Raw genomic sequence first — 15243 nt, 5'->3', positions numbered from 1 at the left:
CGTGGCCTCCAAAGTGCTAGGATTACAGGCATGAGCCTTAAGCCTTAGGCGATGGTTTAACTTTTATCATCCAGGCTATACTTTCACTCTTCTGTAAGTTTAACAGCAAGATCACGGGAGACTCGCCCTTAAGTTTGAGTCTAAACAATCCAGATGGACTTCTCTAGCTTGGGGGCCTTGACTGGCTGTCTCTTGCCTTCCCTTTGCACAAATGTTCCTCTTAGGAGCCTGCCCTGCTGCTGTAGCTCATCTGGGCTATTAAAGTGTCCCAGGGAAGCTGTTGTTTTTCACTTGAATCAGTAGAGCCAGCCCCTCAAGGATGGTAAGAGAAACTTCAAACGTTTCACGAGAGGTTCAGGCTCTATATTCTCCCTGGGAGTTTTGCAGTTTAGCTCTAAATATAACCAGATCAGTCCCTCTTCTTTTGGCCACATGCTGCTACTGAGATTGAGGGCAGAGGCCTCCACCTGGAGTTTGATCCGCCTTAAAGGACCTGGGCCTTCCCCCAACTTTGTGTGTGCAGCGTTAGCTCTTCTCTAGCCAGGTGTGTGGAGTCACAAAGATGCAGGCTCCCGGGTTCTTCCTTCATTGTATAGCATCCAGCTCCCGCTCCTCCCCTTGAGTCACTGTCACCTGCCTCTCTTGGTTTTGCCAAATGGCATCGGAAGCATTTTCAGGCTTGCTAGTAGAGGTCCACTCTGCTGTGACTGATGGTGTTTTAGTAAGACAGAAGGGTACAGTGTTTACCCTGTACATGGTCAAGTGCAATGGTCAGGACACGTAGGGATGTTGCAGGAATACAGCAACATGTTACATGGACTCTTGAGCCAGACTTTCTGGGTTTGAATGCCAGTCCTGCCTTTTAAAAAGATTTTTATAGCTGTGTGACATTTGCTCAGTTACCTAATCTCTCAGTGCCACAGTTTGCTTATCTGTAAAATGGAGGTAATAGTAGTACCTCCCTTAGTGAGTTGTTCTGAAAATGAAATGAGTTAATTCAGGGCCCAGTGTGTTGTGAGGACCGTATTTGCTGCTGTGACATCGTCGTCATCACCATCATCACTAGAGAGAGATAATAGCCATGGCTTCAGCTGTCACTGATTTGTTAAGGCCTCCTGGATCCAGGTTGCCAATCCAGACCTTTCTTTTGAGTTTCTGACCCATTGTCTTACTAGTAGACTACTTATTAGTAGACGTTAGACATCTCCACTTGGATGTCTCCCGCAGGGCTCAAGTTCAACATGTTAAGACTGAATTTCTTATCTTTTGCCTCAGACTGGCCCTTTCTCTCCTATTCTGTCATAGCAATGGTCTATTTGTGTAATTCACCCGTCCAGAAATGTGGGAGTCATCTTTTTTTCTTTTCTTTTTTTTTTTTTGAGGCAGAGTCTCGCTCTGTCACCCAGGCTGGAGTACAATGGCGCAATCTTGGCCCACTGCAACCTCTGCCTGCCAGGTTCAAGTGATTCTCCTGCCTCAGCCTCCTGAGTAGCTGGTACTACAGGTGTGTGCCACCACACCCAGCTAATTTTTTGTTATTTTTAGTAGAGATGGGGTTTCACCATGCTGGCCAGGCTGGTCTCGAACTCCTGACCTCGTGATCTGCCCACCTCGGCCTCCCAAAGTGCTGGGATTACAGGTGTGAGCCATTGCACCCGGCTGGGAGTCATCTTTGACTCCCTTATGTCCTTTGTTCTCTGCCCCACATCAAATTCACCACTAAATCCTGTTGGTTTTGCAGGTTACATCTTTTGCAAGTGTTTCTTCTCTTCACCCCTATGGGCTTCGGGATGTGGGTGCCACCTTTTCTAGGGAGGAGCCTTCTCCGACCCTCTGAAGCTGGGTTGGAGGTCTCCTTTTTATCCCCATGGCTTTCAGGGCATAGCTCATCGCAGTGTGTTCTTCTTGGCAGTCCCCTTAGACAGCAGGCTCTCTGAGGGCAGCAAGCATCTCTGAGTTGCTTGACATTGATCTTTAGGACCACACTGTCCATGTTTGTCAGGTCAATAGATGTGTCGTGGTCTCCCTCACCCCCATACCTTTGGATGTCTTGCTTCCCCTGCCTGGAATTTTCTTTCACCTCTTACCTGCTTGTTTGACTCCTGCATATTCTTCAACAGAATTTAACAGATCCAGAGTTAGCTCCTCTACCCACCTGCGGTATTCCTGCAACATCCCTACATGTCCTGACCGTTGCACTTGACCATGATATATGGTCATGGTTGGTTTTCATTTTTCTCCCCACTTGAAGGCAGAGACTGTCTTTCATCTCCATATTCCATTTTCCACAGAAATTGCTGAGTAAATTTTTGTTAAATGAATGATGAAAGATTGAATAGATAGGTGGATGGATGAGCAGATGGAGGGAAGAATGATTAACTTCTAATGTGACATTAAAGCAGATTACCTAATGAGGACACATCAGAGAAAGCGTGTTTAAAATAAATAGAATTCAGTCTGTTGTTTCATTTACAATCGAATTGAAAAGATGTCCTTGTTACTAATATGTTGTTATTTATATCTGCTTAGCTTTAAATGTTTTTCTAATAAGAGTAATCATCATCATTTTCATTAGTGATTCTTGCTGTGTGGCTTTTCCTTTTAAAGTCTTCCCAGGCATTTGAATATATGTAAGTAAGGGGTGGTTAGGAGATATAGCCCTTACCTGTTCTTACTCCTGTTGAATTCAGAGATGCATGGAACTCAGGCCCATTTTGTTGCATTTTCCTCTCCTCTATCGAGTGCCGAGAAGGTGGTTCCAAGACCAGGTTTCAGCTGCAGGTTGAGTAGCAGGTCATGTCTTCACTTTCTCTTTTGTTCAGACCAAGCAAGGGTTTATCTCTCTTTCTCTCTCTCTCTCTGTCTCAGGTCAGTCTAGAGCACGAGGAGCAGAAACTGGAGCTCAAGCGCCAGCTCACAGAGCTACAGCTCTCCCTGCAGGAGCGCGAGTCACAGTTGACAGCCCTGCAGGCTGCACGGGCGGCCCTGGAGAGCCAGCTTCGCCAGGCGAAGACAGAGCTGGAAGAGACCACAGCAGAAGCTGAAGAGGAGATCCAGGCACTCACGGTAGGTCTGGGGAGCAACATCTTCAGGTTGCTAAAGGCCTCAGCTAGGATGAGTGTGGAACTGGCACTGAGTATACTGGCTCACCCTTAGAAATTCCAGGAGGGAAAACATGATCCACAAAGATATTCAGTGGCCAGGAAATTGGCTTACATAGGCTGCTGCTTCATTGGAACTAGTAGATGAGCTTGGTTGGTTATATTCAAACTTTTCTTAGTATCTTGAATAGTTCCTCCTTTACTTATATATTTTCCTTCTTTTGAAAAAATCATCATTATATTTTAAAGTTTGGTTTCAGTTTGTTTAAAAGTTTGTTTACCTTGGCTTTCTACTTTAGTTTTCAATAATCATTTAAAATAATAATAATAATCTTATAGTAGTTTTTCTACCATATTTTTACTTTTTGTTTTAGTTAACCTTACTCATGTTACTTTTTTTTTTTTTCAAGCTGTAGATTCTGCTTCCTGTCTTTTGTATGCATCTGGTATGAACTGGATGGGAAAAATTCTACTGAATGAAAGATTCTTTCTCTAAAAGGGACCTGGCTTCCTTGTTCTTTCTGAGAGACTAGTTTACTTAGCTGGAGAGTATTCTCAGGAGGTAGAACTTGGAGCGGGGGTGTTACTGGATTGAAACCTTAGTTCTTTTTAGAAGTCTGAAATGGATTTTTTTGTGGGGCCATTTTCCCCACATTTGATCATTCCCACAGAGACTGACCCAGAATAACAAAACTCACAAAAATCTGATATGTGAAATGCCAACTTAACTTGAAGGGGGAAATGCAACTGCCAAGTTGACTAGGGTACTCTGGGTGGCCAATCTTCACATTTTCTTTTTCCCATTCAGGGAAGTATACTTAGAAAATCCCGTTAATCTTGGAAGGATCCCCGGAGGACCTAGACTGTGAGCATAGAAGGCCAAATGAATTTTAATGGCTGGTGTCAGCCAAGCTCATACATTTCTCATAGTATCATACTGTACCCGCCAAGCAGACAGGCACACACCTGCCTGCTGGTCAGGGTGCCCTCTCCTGTGGGCCAGTCACAATACAGCTGATTGGGTTTAGTGTTTTTTTAATAAGCCACCTAAATAGGTACCTTATTCATTCTGACTCAACTTAGATGCTGTCCCCATTTCCGTCAGTGAACATCTCTAAACCTCTCTTTGATTGGGGTTACTTCCGTGGAATGAATGGCCATGTACATTCATTGCTTACACTTTACCTCGATGTAATGCACGTGTACATCTCTATATCTCTATCTATCTATCTATCTATCTATCTATCTATCTATCTATCTATCTATATCTATATATATTTAACGTAGTTTCATTCTTAGAAGTTATTGCCCATTGTTGGGTTTGGGGATCCCAGTATCTGAACCAAACTGGGAATGTGATCTGACAGTGCCAGGGTCTGTATAGGACCAGTCCAAGGTTTAGTGGCTTCCAGTATGTTTGTGCATCCTAGATTTTCTAGGACTTACACCAAGTTCAGATATTGACTGCACATTTAGGTTCCATAGTCTCTATGAGAACACTCATTAAATGATGCCACATCATGCCCCCAAAATTTGCTTTGGCAAAAAATAACCACAGTATGTCTTTGTGTATACTGTCTTGTTTCACAGTGGACTGAAAACCACTTGGAAAGATGCAACACAGTAAAACAGAACAAAATAAGAAACAAAAGGCAAAGAGAAAATAAGTCTGTAGAAGAAAAAATGGAGCTAGGAATGAAGTTGATATATAAGAGTTCATGCCAAGAAGGCTTATAGACTTGCTGGAGTTGGGAGTTGGGTGGGTGGAGAGAGACAGATAACATTTCTTAGCTTTTAAAGGGAGGCACCTAAATTTCAACCACTATTATATTTAACGCAATGTATATTAATATTTTCCTCCTGTACCTATACCCAACCTCTGAAAGAAAAAGAGACATCAGCAATTTAATCCATATTTAATAAGCCCTTGCTATGGGCCCAATGCTGTGTCTTTAGCTTTTTCTCCCCAGGGGATTGGTCTGTAATTCCTCAAATCCGTTTATTTCAGAGCAGCCGAGAAGGACACATTTATCTTGCTGCTCTGTTGGAATTGGGAAGGAGGGGTGACTGTGTATCTTATCCTGGCCCTGTTTGGAAGGAAGAGGGCATAAAATAGAGCACGTGTCACTGCTCTTTATCTATGGGGAAATTAGTCCTTTAAATCCTTTCTTGCTGCTGGTTGGAATGTGCTGTGTCTGATGGCTGCTGGAAGCTGAGCACAGCAGCAAGTCACGACTTAATTTAGTTAGATGAGATCACTGCCTCAAAGCATCTTCTTAAAAAAAAAAATAAGGAAACAAACCTCCCTTGGTTTAGAAACTAGGGCTCTGTTGCTTTTGCAGATGAAGATGCTGTGGAAAAAACAGGGCTTCTTCAAATGATGGCAGAAGTGCCTTCCTCCAACAGCTGTTTGCAAACCCATCATACGGAAATCCAAACTCCATTTCCATTTGCTTCCATTCAGTTTCAAGGCTGTGGGCTTTTCCTTCCCCCTTCTCTTGATTATGTTCCATAAACCTGGTTATGGACAGCATGTGTTTGTTGCCTGAATGGGTTAGTTGAATTTGTTCTGAAAAACGTCTTTTCCAAGAAAAAGCGAAAATGGTCCCAAAATGCCATACTTTCCAACTTTCTCATTGTTTGAGACCTGAGTGGAGACCCTGCACAAGCATCAGTCAAATGAAATCAGCTGGATCTATAATGATCGCCTAGGAGATTTGTGAGTTTCACAGCAGGCTGTTTTGTCAATAAAAGGGAATAGTCAAATGTGCTATGATTGTTTAATTGTAAGAGGCAGTCATCTCCTAGCCTGTGAAAGGGAGCAGTTACCTTGTTTGGCCTCCATCCCTGGGCCAAATGAGATGGAGCACAGTTAAATTAAAGCTCTCGACTGAAGGGTCTTGGCGGTGCAGCTGGGAGGCCTTTGTTGCCGTTTCTAATGCTTGCCTCTTCTCCACTTTCACTTCACCCATCCTGTCAAATTTAAACAGAAACATGCTTTTAAGATACTTCCGTACTTATTGCTGGAAAAGAGACATTTCAGCCTGAACTTGATATTTAAGACTCCATCTCAAGGGAGATAATTTGAGTCTGCACACCTTATAGCACACGATGTGTGATGTGGTATAAGCATCACTCTGAAGAGGACCACCAGGCAAGAGGCGTGCTGTGTGCTCTGTGTGCACCGGCCAGGCCTCATGAACACATTTTGTGTTTTCACTCCTCTGTTCTTTTACCGATTCTGTCAAGTGACTAATGTTGAATAATCAAGAGTTGAAAGCTAGAGACACTAATGAAAGGAATCCTTCTCCCTGCATAGCGTGATGATGGGATCCCAAAGTCATCCTCTTTGATTTGTTAAAATCATGAGTCAGTGCACGTTCTCATTCTCGTACATAAATATCAAGCCCTCTGTTTAATTAATTAGTAAGCCATCGGCATGATAGCCAAGATGTGAAATCGGGGCATGTAAGGTGACATTCTTGCCTGGTGCCTGCCTTCACCCTGAAAGGGGGTGGGTGCACAGAAGCCTAACCGTTCTAGAATCCTGACCATGGATCCCAGAAGGTGGTCAGACATCTACACGCTTGTTTCCTTTCTTCAGTTCTGCAGATATTTTGCTCCCTCAAGGCTACATTGTAGTTTACTTTTCTTTCTTCTTCTTGTAACTTTCCTGAAAATTAAGGCATAAATACTTCCAAAAGAAAGTATCTCTCTGGTCTTAGGGGCAGACTGGCTGCAACCTGTCCGTCCACATTTTTGCCACCCAACTCCTAGGTTAGTGGTTCCCAAAGTGGATCTGTGGACTCCTGGGTTTCCCAAGATCAGATGGTTTTTTTTCCTTTTTTTTGAGACAGGGTCTCACTCTGTCACCCAGGCTGGAGTGCAGTGGTGCAATGTCAGCACACTGCAGCCTTGACTCCCAGGCTCAAGAGTGATACTCCCACCTCAGCCTCCCAAGTAGCTGGGACTATAGGTGCTCGCCACCCACCTGGTTAACTTTTGTATTTTTTTGTAAAGAAGAGGTTTCACCGTGTTTCCCAGGCTGGTCTTGAACTCCTGGGCTCAAGCAATTCGCCTGCCTTGGTCTCTCAAAGTGCTGGGATTACAGACATGAGCCATTATGCCTGCCTGTCAGACTGTTTTCATAACAATACTAAGATGTCATTTAACACTTTTCACTGTGTTAATATTTGCACTGATGGTGCAAAAGCAATGTTAGTGTTATTTTAAAAGAAATAAAAAATAAATATTTGAAAAATATCTGTCTTAATTTTTTTGTTTGTTTGTTTTTTTGAGACGGAGTCTCACTCTCTTGCCAGGCTGGAGTGCAGTGGCGTGATCTCGGCTCACTGCAACTTCCACCTCCTGGGTTCAGGCGATTCTCCTGCCTCAGCCTCCCGAGTAGCTGGGACTACAGGTGCTCGCCCACCACGCCCAGTTAATTTTTGTATTTTTAGTGAGTCACGGGTTTCACCATGTTGGCCAGGATGGTCTCGATCTCTTGACCTTGTGATCCACCCGCCTCTGCCTCCCAAAGTGCTGGGATTACAGGCTTGAGCCACTGCGCCAGGCCTAATTTTTTTTTTTTTTTGAGATGGAGTCTCCCTCTGTTGCCCAGGCTGGAGTGCAATGGCACGATCTTGGCTCACTGCAACCTCCACCTCCTGGGTTCAAGCGATTTTCCTACCTCAGCCTCCTGAGTAGCTGGGATTACAGGCATGCGCCACCACTCCCAGCTAATTTTTAAATTTTTAGTAGAGAAGGGGTTTCACCGTGTTGGTCAGGCTGGTCTCGAACTCCTGACCTTGTGATCCACCTGCTTCAGCCTCCCAAAGTGCTGGAATTACAGGTGTGAGCCACTGTGCCTGGCCATCTCAGTCTTAATTTCTAATGTTGCAAGTGTAGGTGGATACTACATAAACAAGAGCTCTTTGGGGTCCTCAGTAATTTTTAAGAGTGTAGATATTTATTCTCTGTAGCACCTAATATCTAATTAACACTCACACATTTCATTGAGAGCATCCAAAGCTTGTCTTATGCGTTTTGCTGTCTTTATGTATATATTCTATTGCATGAGCTTTTGCCTTTTTGTGTATTTGTTTTATAACTTATTTCAAAAAACATAAAGCATATGACTTACCATTTTCTTACTGTGACTAGTTCAGTAGTTAAGTGCTTACAGTAGGTCTAGCAACCACAACAGGGTCAGTTCTACATTTTGTGTTTATATTTCATAAACAGTAATAAATCAAAAGCCATAATGACTGTGGTTCATTATGTTAACTTTCAGAGAGGATTGCTTGACATGATCCAAAGTCCCCATAATGGTTAATTTTAATGGAAATGGATCAGTATTAATGACTGAAATTTCAGACTCCAGTGGGAGAGTTAAATGAGTTTTTAATGGTGCTGTGTTATTTGAAACTTTGCTGTTAATAAGAAAGTGGAATAGGGCTTCTGTCCCTGTGGATAAGCCAGTGAGCTTTTTTATGGTCACCACTTATGCTTTGAAGGAGCTAACTCCACTCTCAGCTTCCTGTTTCTGTTTTTGAGAGATTTCACACCAAATAGTCATTTAGAGCAGAGACTGGCAAATTACAGGCCAAATTTTAGTCTGTCACTGTTTTCTGTAAATAAAGTTTTATTAGAACACATTAGAAACAAACATGTCTGTTTGTTTACATATCGTTTGTGGCTGCTTTTGCTTTAGAAGGGTAGAGTTAAGTAGTTCTAACCAAGACTGGATACTCTGGAAATTTTAAGGAAATTTCCTTATCTGGCATTTTAAGGAAAAAATTTGCCGATTCCTGACCAAGAGTCTGTTAACATAAGGGCCTTATTCTTTCTCTAGGAAGAATCCTTGCCTTTGGTTTTTGGTGATCATGGAAGACACTAAAGGGGGTTGTGTGGTCCTTGGGTCTAGGCTGCTGCTTGGTCACAGATGAGATTTTGACATAGTGCAGATAGCCACAGTCTTACTTTGGGTAAGCAGTATTCTTATCTTAACAAAGGAATAAATCTCTCATTATTGCTGGGCAAAAAGCAGGTAGATTTTTAGAAAAAAAATTAAGATCTGTTAAATTAGTCCATAGAATATAGGCTAGTTATTTAGGAAGTCAATTCTAAACAATAACTTTTTATTTATAAATCTGTCTGTGATTCTGTCTATGCAACTATCTATTTTTGGTATTTTATGTATTTTTTTATTGGTATATCACAGTCGTACATATTTTTGAGATACATGTGACATTTTGATACATGCCTACAATGTGTAATGATCAAATCAGGGTAATTGGGATATCCATCACCTCAAACATTTATCTTTTCTTTGTGTTGGGAACGTTATAATTCTCTTCTGGCTATTTTCAGCAACTAATCTATTTTTGGTTTGTTTTGTTTTACCATCTCTCCAGGGCTCTTCATTCATTTGTGTAGATCCAAATTTCTGGTTGCCATTTTCCATCTGTCGGAAGGACTTTCTTTAACATTTCTTATAGCACAGGTTTGCTGGTGTCAAATTCCTTCAACTTTTGTATGTTTGAAAAAGTTTTTATATTACCTTCATTTTTTAAGAGGTATTTTTGCTGGGTATAGAATTCTATGTGGACAGGTGTTTTTTTTTTTTTTTTTTTTTTTTGCTTGTTTCTTCTGTTTTTTATTTCAGCACTTTGAAGATATTGCTTTACTGTGTTCTAGCTTTTCATGCCCACTCCTTCTCCCCATCTTGGTGAGAAATCTGTCTTTCTCATTTTTGTTTCTCTTAATGTAACATGTATTTTTCTCTGGCTGTTTTTTTTTTTTTTAAGATTTTCTTTTTATTATTGGACTTAAACAGTTTCATTATAGTGTGCTTTAGGTTAATTTTCTTCACATTTCTTATGCTTGGTACTTACTTGTTGAATATTTTGCATCTGTGGGTTTATGGCTTTCATCAACTTTGGAAAATTTGTGGCCATTATTTCTTGAAATATTTTTTCTGTCTCCTGTACTCCTTCTGGGTCTCTAATTGCATGTATGTTAGGCTACTTGAAGTTGTCCACAACTCCCTGATGCTCTGCATTTTTTGAAAATGCCTTTTTCTTTTCTCATTGTGTTTCATTTTGGTTTCTACTTCTTGTCTTCTACTTCTTTGTTTCTACTTGTCTTCAAGTTCACTAATCTTTTCTTCTAAAGTATCTAATCTGCCATTATAAACTGACAATAGTATTTATGGAAAAATAGACATATTAGAAAAAACATCACAGCTCTAAAATTTTTGACTCAGTTATCTTATAGACTTTTTTTTTTTTTTTTTTTTGAGGCGGAGTCTCGCCCTGTTGCCCAGGCTGGAGTGTGGTGGCGTGATCTCAGCTCACTGCAAGCTCTGCCTTCCGGTTCACACCATTCTCCTGCCTCAGCCTCCAGAGTAGCTGTGACTACAGGCACCTGCCACCACACCCAGCTAATTTTTTGTATTTTTTAGTAGAGACCATCCTGTTAGCCAGGATGGTCTTAATCTCCTCACCTCATGATCTGCCCGCCTCGGCTTCCCAAAGTGCTGGGATTACAGGCATGAGCCACTGCGCCTGGCCTCCTATAGACCTTCTTATGGAGACTTTTTTTTTTTTTATAATTAAATAGAAGGATCACTCTTACATCTGCCCTAAACTGGGTTCTGGGTTCTTATTTGGGTTTTCATACATAAGCAGATGGGACCATATCCACTTTGTCTATCAAGTGAAAAGTCTGTTAGGGCGTCTTTGACTCCTCTTTCCTCTTGGCCACACATCTATCAGTAAGTCCTTTTCCTTATGTTTTCAAAGGAGATCTCAGTTTCATCCACTTTCTCTGTTTGGTTTGTTTGTTTGTTTGTTTTTGCCACCATCCTTCTCCAAGCCACTATCATCTCTCGCTTGAATGACAGTAACAGTACCTTCATTGGTTTCCCTGCTACGTTCTACCTTTGTTCTATTTTGATCCTCTTCTCCCTGTAACATCTACCGTGATCTTAAAACAACAGTAAAATCCGTCACTTTCTTTCTTAAAATTTTCCATTGGTTTTCAATTAATTGAATTTTGAATGAAACCTAAATTCTTTACTGGACCTTCAAGATTCTTGGTCTCTGCCTTGGTCCCTGTCATCATCTTGGGCTACTTTTTTTTCTTCTTTGCTGTGCTTTTTCAAAAGTTGACCACAACCCACAGAATACATTTTACTTGCAATCCAATAGAAGGGAGTATATATACTGTATTTCACTGTTTCTAAGGCATCTGAAATCAAGGTGCATATTACAGTCATATACAGACATAAACATGTCATAGTTTAACAGCACTTTTTCTTTCTTAATGTTACATAAAATTAGGTTTTACCATGGAAAGTACCTTAAATTTGATTAGTTATAGTATCTAAAGCAGAAGTTTCCTATAACAGACCTCATGTTTACTCCTCAAGGCACATTCTGATGTTTTCAATTCTATCTTTTTTATTCTACTTCACTGGATACAACAAAACAAAAAACCCCACTTGTCATGCTTGCTATTGGGTCACAGCTTGCAGTTTGAAAAACTCTGCTCTAGCCACTCAGTTTTTTTGGTTGTTGTTGTTCATCAAATGCACCAGACCCTTTCCTGCCTCAGGGTCTTTGCAAATGCTGCTCCCTCTGCCGTCTCCTGTCCATTGCATGGCTGGCTCCTCATCATCCTATAGGTTTCAGCTTACATGCCACCTCCTCAGAGAAGCCCTCCTTGACCATCCCATCTAAGTAAGTTTCTACCTACCTTTCTTATTCCTTTTTTTTTTTTAAACTGGTCCCTATTTGTTTTCTTTATAACATTTGTCCCAATCTCTAATCACGCACTTATTCATTTCCGATCTTCCGTCACCAGAATGAAGGCATGGGTCATGGATGCCTATATCCTTCCACAGTGTCAAGCATATAGTATGCACTAAAAAAGTCCTTGTCAACTGAAAAAATGCTGCTGGTTTAAGGCAGCTTTTTCCTGGAGAAAGCCTATATATATTTATTTCAAGGCCGATGTAGAGTTTTCTGAATGTCCGCAGCTTTTAATGAAAAAACAACACACACACAAAGTCCCTTTGTCTTGGCTATTGTCCTGTGTGTGCGTTTCTGTGTGTATGTGTGTGTGTGTGTGTGTGTGTGTGTGTCAGGGAGTAGGCTGGGGAGGAGTCAGTTGGAGGGAAGAGGGAAAATACTCATCTTTTCAGAATGGGAATAGGACAAATGAAGGAGAGTAAAACTTCATCCTTTATTGCTTTTTTTCCCTTTTCTCCTAATAGCCTGTAGGTGTTAATATAAATGTTAAAAATATTTGTACAGGGTGTGCATGTATGGTCTAAAGAATTAATTGTTATTAACACAGCATTGTGTATTCCTGTAACTTATTTCTGGTGTTGGGGATGATTTGATTAATTAGTTCTTAGAAAAACAGATGCTGGTGCCGCATTCTCGGCTTTCCAGGCAAATTGCTATTCTCTATATTTGACCCGTAGCATGTAGAATTGTATTCTACCCTATGAAAAATTTATAATCAACTTCTTACCTTTTAGGCACATAGAGATGAAATCCAGCGCAAATTTGATGCTCTTCGTAACAGCTGTACTGTGAGTATTAATTACCCAAAGACGATTAAAATAACATGAAACTAAAACAGAGGAGGAAAAGGGGACGTCTCTTTAAAATATTGGTGACTGAGTTTTGATACGAACTTGCAGCTTGAAGAAGATAATGCAATCAACCTTATTTGGAGTTTTTGAGCCCTAGATAACCTGTTTTTGGGGGTTCTTCCAGTTTTCAAAAACTGAAACCATTCTTCATGTTTTGGGGAAGAGGATAGTTGGAAGGGTCAAAATAATTCTATTAGTGGAACAACTAATAGGTTTCAGCAGCCGCAACAAAAATCCCAAGGCAGTTCCACCTCCTGTCCCAATGTAGAAGGTTCCATGGCTAGCCCAGGTCAGAGACTCCCCTGTCACCAGGGCAGTTGTATCTGTGAGACTTGTCCAGATTGCTGCCCCTGCGGAGGAAAGACCAGTGAGCTCTCCTGGAGACCTAGAAATTGTAACTTTCTACCAGGCAAAATTTGGCTTCCCAACATGCAAATTCAAAATCTAGGACTCTTTGGGAGATGTTATTTATATTGAGAGAAGTAAATTCTATGAGTGGATAAGCATCTTCCATAGGTTATATAATAGAGTAGGGTCAGTGGGAATTCAGTCTATTTTTGATGAGAGTGAAGAACTGAAATAGGCCCCTTTCAGAAGATGGGGATGTTCTCCTTATTCATGTGCCCTCTCTTTTCTTTGGCCTTTTTGTCACTTTATTACCTTCTTAGTCCTCAGTGATCTTGTCCTTGTTTGTATTATTTGCATTTGTGAATTTCCAGAGACACCTCCCAGCCTCCACACACATACATATTTTATTTTCTTGTTATGAGCCCTTTCTTTCCTCTTTAGCTACTGTAAATGAAATATTAAGTCCTAATGGTATTTTTTTCTTAATTTAGATATAAAATGTATCTAGTAAAGCACATAATAATGTAGTAATTTTAAGTATACAGCTCAATAAAATTTTTACACAGATAGACAACTGGGTAACCCCAATGTAGATCAAGATACAGAACTTTCTTAGTCCCTGAAGGCTCCCTCATGTCCCCTTCCCATCATCATCCTTCACCCAAAGGGTAACCACTATGCTGACCTCTGATAACCATAGTTTAGTCTTACCTGTTCTTGAATGTCATATAAATGGAATCACAGAGGATGTGCTCTCTGGGGCTTAGCTTTTTTTTTCGCTTAAATGTTTTGTGAGGTTCCTCCATGTTGCTGTACCTATCAATAATTTGTTCTTTTTTTTTTTTATCACTGTGTGGTGTTTCTGGTGTATGAATAGAACTATAGTTTGTTTATCCATTCTCCTTGTTGGTAGACATTTGGATTGTTTCCATAATGGATCAAGCTGTTAGGAAACCCCGTTACACAAGGCCTTTGGTGGCTGTGAGCACTTACGTCTGGTGAACATATCCCCAAGAATTACTAGGTCATGAGATTTGCCTCTGTTTGACTTTAGTAGGGAACTGACAGACCAGTTTTTTGGTCTGTATTTCCTGATGTGGTGGTGGATCGGGATGGGCCTGCCTTAAAATGTCTGTGGATTTCCTCCATCCCTCCTCCCTTCCTTGAGGAGTTGGGGGGTGACATTCTGGTAGTTTTCTGCCCTAGGATTTTAGTTTCTTGTTGTCTTCGTTTCTTATTTTACACAAGAATTATTTGCTTATATTACATACATGCGCGTGAATGATCACTGAATAAAATGTAGATCATTTTATGACTGGAATTTTTTATATTACTATTTTTTCCTTATATAAGCTTGGATTTTAAAAAATGTGTGCATTAGTAATCCTGTTCCATTCATCTGGAGTTCTTTTTTCCTTTTTCAGTCTTTTGGCATAAGAACTTTCTAAAAAACTTTTTTTTACAGTTTTATTGAGGTATAATTGGTGTACTATAATCTGATGCGTTTTAAAATGTGTGTGTAACTGTGAAACAGCAAAACAATCAAAATAATGAATTTTGTTATTATTTTGGATAATAAGGTTATCCAAATTTTATCCTTGAGCGATAAAAACAAAATATTTATTGTATTCATGACCCTCAAAAGTTTCCTTATACCCCTTTGTAATTCATCTTGTCCCCCATTTTAAAAACTGGAAGTTTAGTTTTAGTGGAATACACTAGTATGTAGAATGCATTTGGTTACTTTCTCATGTAACTCTAATGCTCTCCAAATTTGCATTTCTGGAACGGTGACTTCTAATCTTTGCTTCATTTACCTCTGTGTTCTGTGGCGAAGCCTATGGGGGCCTTCCCAAGTGTGTGTGTGTGAACCTGAGAGAGATGCCCTTCACCCACATTTCAGCCAGAGGAGCTGGGTAACTTAGTAGTCTAAGTCATGGGCTCTGGAATCAGATAGAGTTCAGATTATAAATTGGCCTCTTAGTAACCTACGTGTATTATCCTACTAAGCCTCTGTTTCTTTGTCTGTAAAATGGAGATAACATTGTATACCCTCAGTTCCAATCAGTACGCTCATTGATTGTAGGATGCATAATTTATTTAATAACTGCTCTTTGGGGGCTGGGT

General features: G+C 40.6%; 1 protein-coding gene across 15 annotated transcripts in view, besides 2 other annotated features; it reads left to right on the top strand.

The window, feature by feature from the left end:
* The window catches only part of CIT (citron rho-interacting serine/threonine kinase), a 191530-nt gene that overhangs the window by 122205 nt on the left and 54082 nt on the right, over positions 1 to 15243 (top strand). For all 15 annotated transcript variants that reach the window (XM_011537788.2, XM_011537787.2, XM_047428134.1 and 12 more), the window contains 2 exons: positions 2869 to 3066; positions 12652 to 12705. In XM_011537788.2, the coding sequence (XP_011536090.1) occupies positions 2869 to 3066; positions 12652 to 12705 (252 nt within the window). The remainder of the gene's footprint in view (positions 1 to 2868; positions 3067 to 12651; positions 12706 to 15243) is intronic.
* Positions 571 to 754: a silencer, noted in NCBI's record as "fragment chr12:120192166-120192349 (GRCh37/hg19 assembly coordinates)". NCBI's record gives its function as "represses an EF-1alpha promoter that drives an FKBP-Casp9 reporter gene in an ReSE screen in K562 erythroleukemia cells {active_cell/tissue: K562}" and the evidence as "EXISTENCE:reporter gene assay evidence [ECO:0000049][PMID:32094911]".
* Positions 5766 to 6965: an enhancer, noted in NCBI's record as "P300/CBP strongly-dependent group 1 enhancer chr12:120185956-120187155 (GRCh37/hg19 assembly coordinates)". NCBI's record gives its function as "activates an origin of replication core promoter dependent on BRD2, BRD4, P300/CBP, MED14 and CDK7 cofactors, with strong dependence on P300/CBP, by STARR-seq in HCT116 cells {active_cell/tissue: HCT116}" and the evidence as "EXISTENCE:reporter gene assay evidence [ECO:0000049][PMID:35650434]".

This window comes from Homo sapiens, chromosome 12, assembly GCF_000001405.40.
Source record: "Homo sapiens chromosome 12, GRCh38.p14 Primary Assembly".
Classification (NCBI taxonomy): Eukaryota; Metazoa; Chordata; class Mammalia; order Primates; family Hominidae; genus Homo; species Homo sapiens.
The sequence above is the reverse complement of the archived record's forward strand: the minus strand, read 5'-3'. Positions and strand labels throughout refer to the sequence as shown.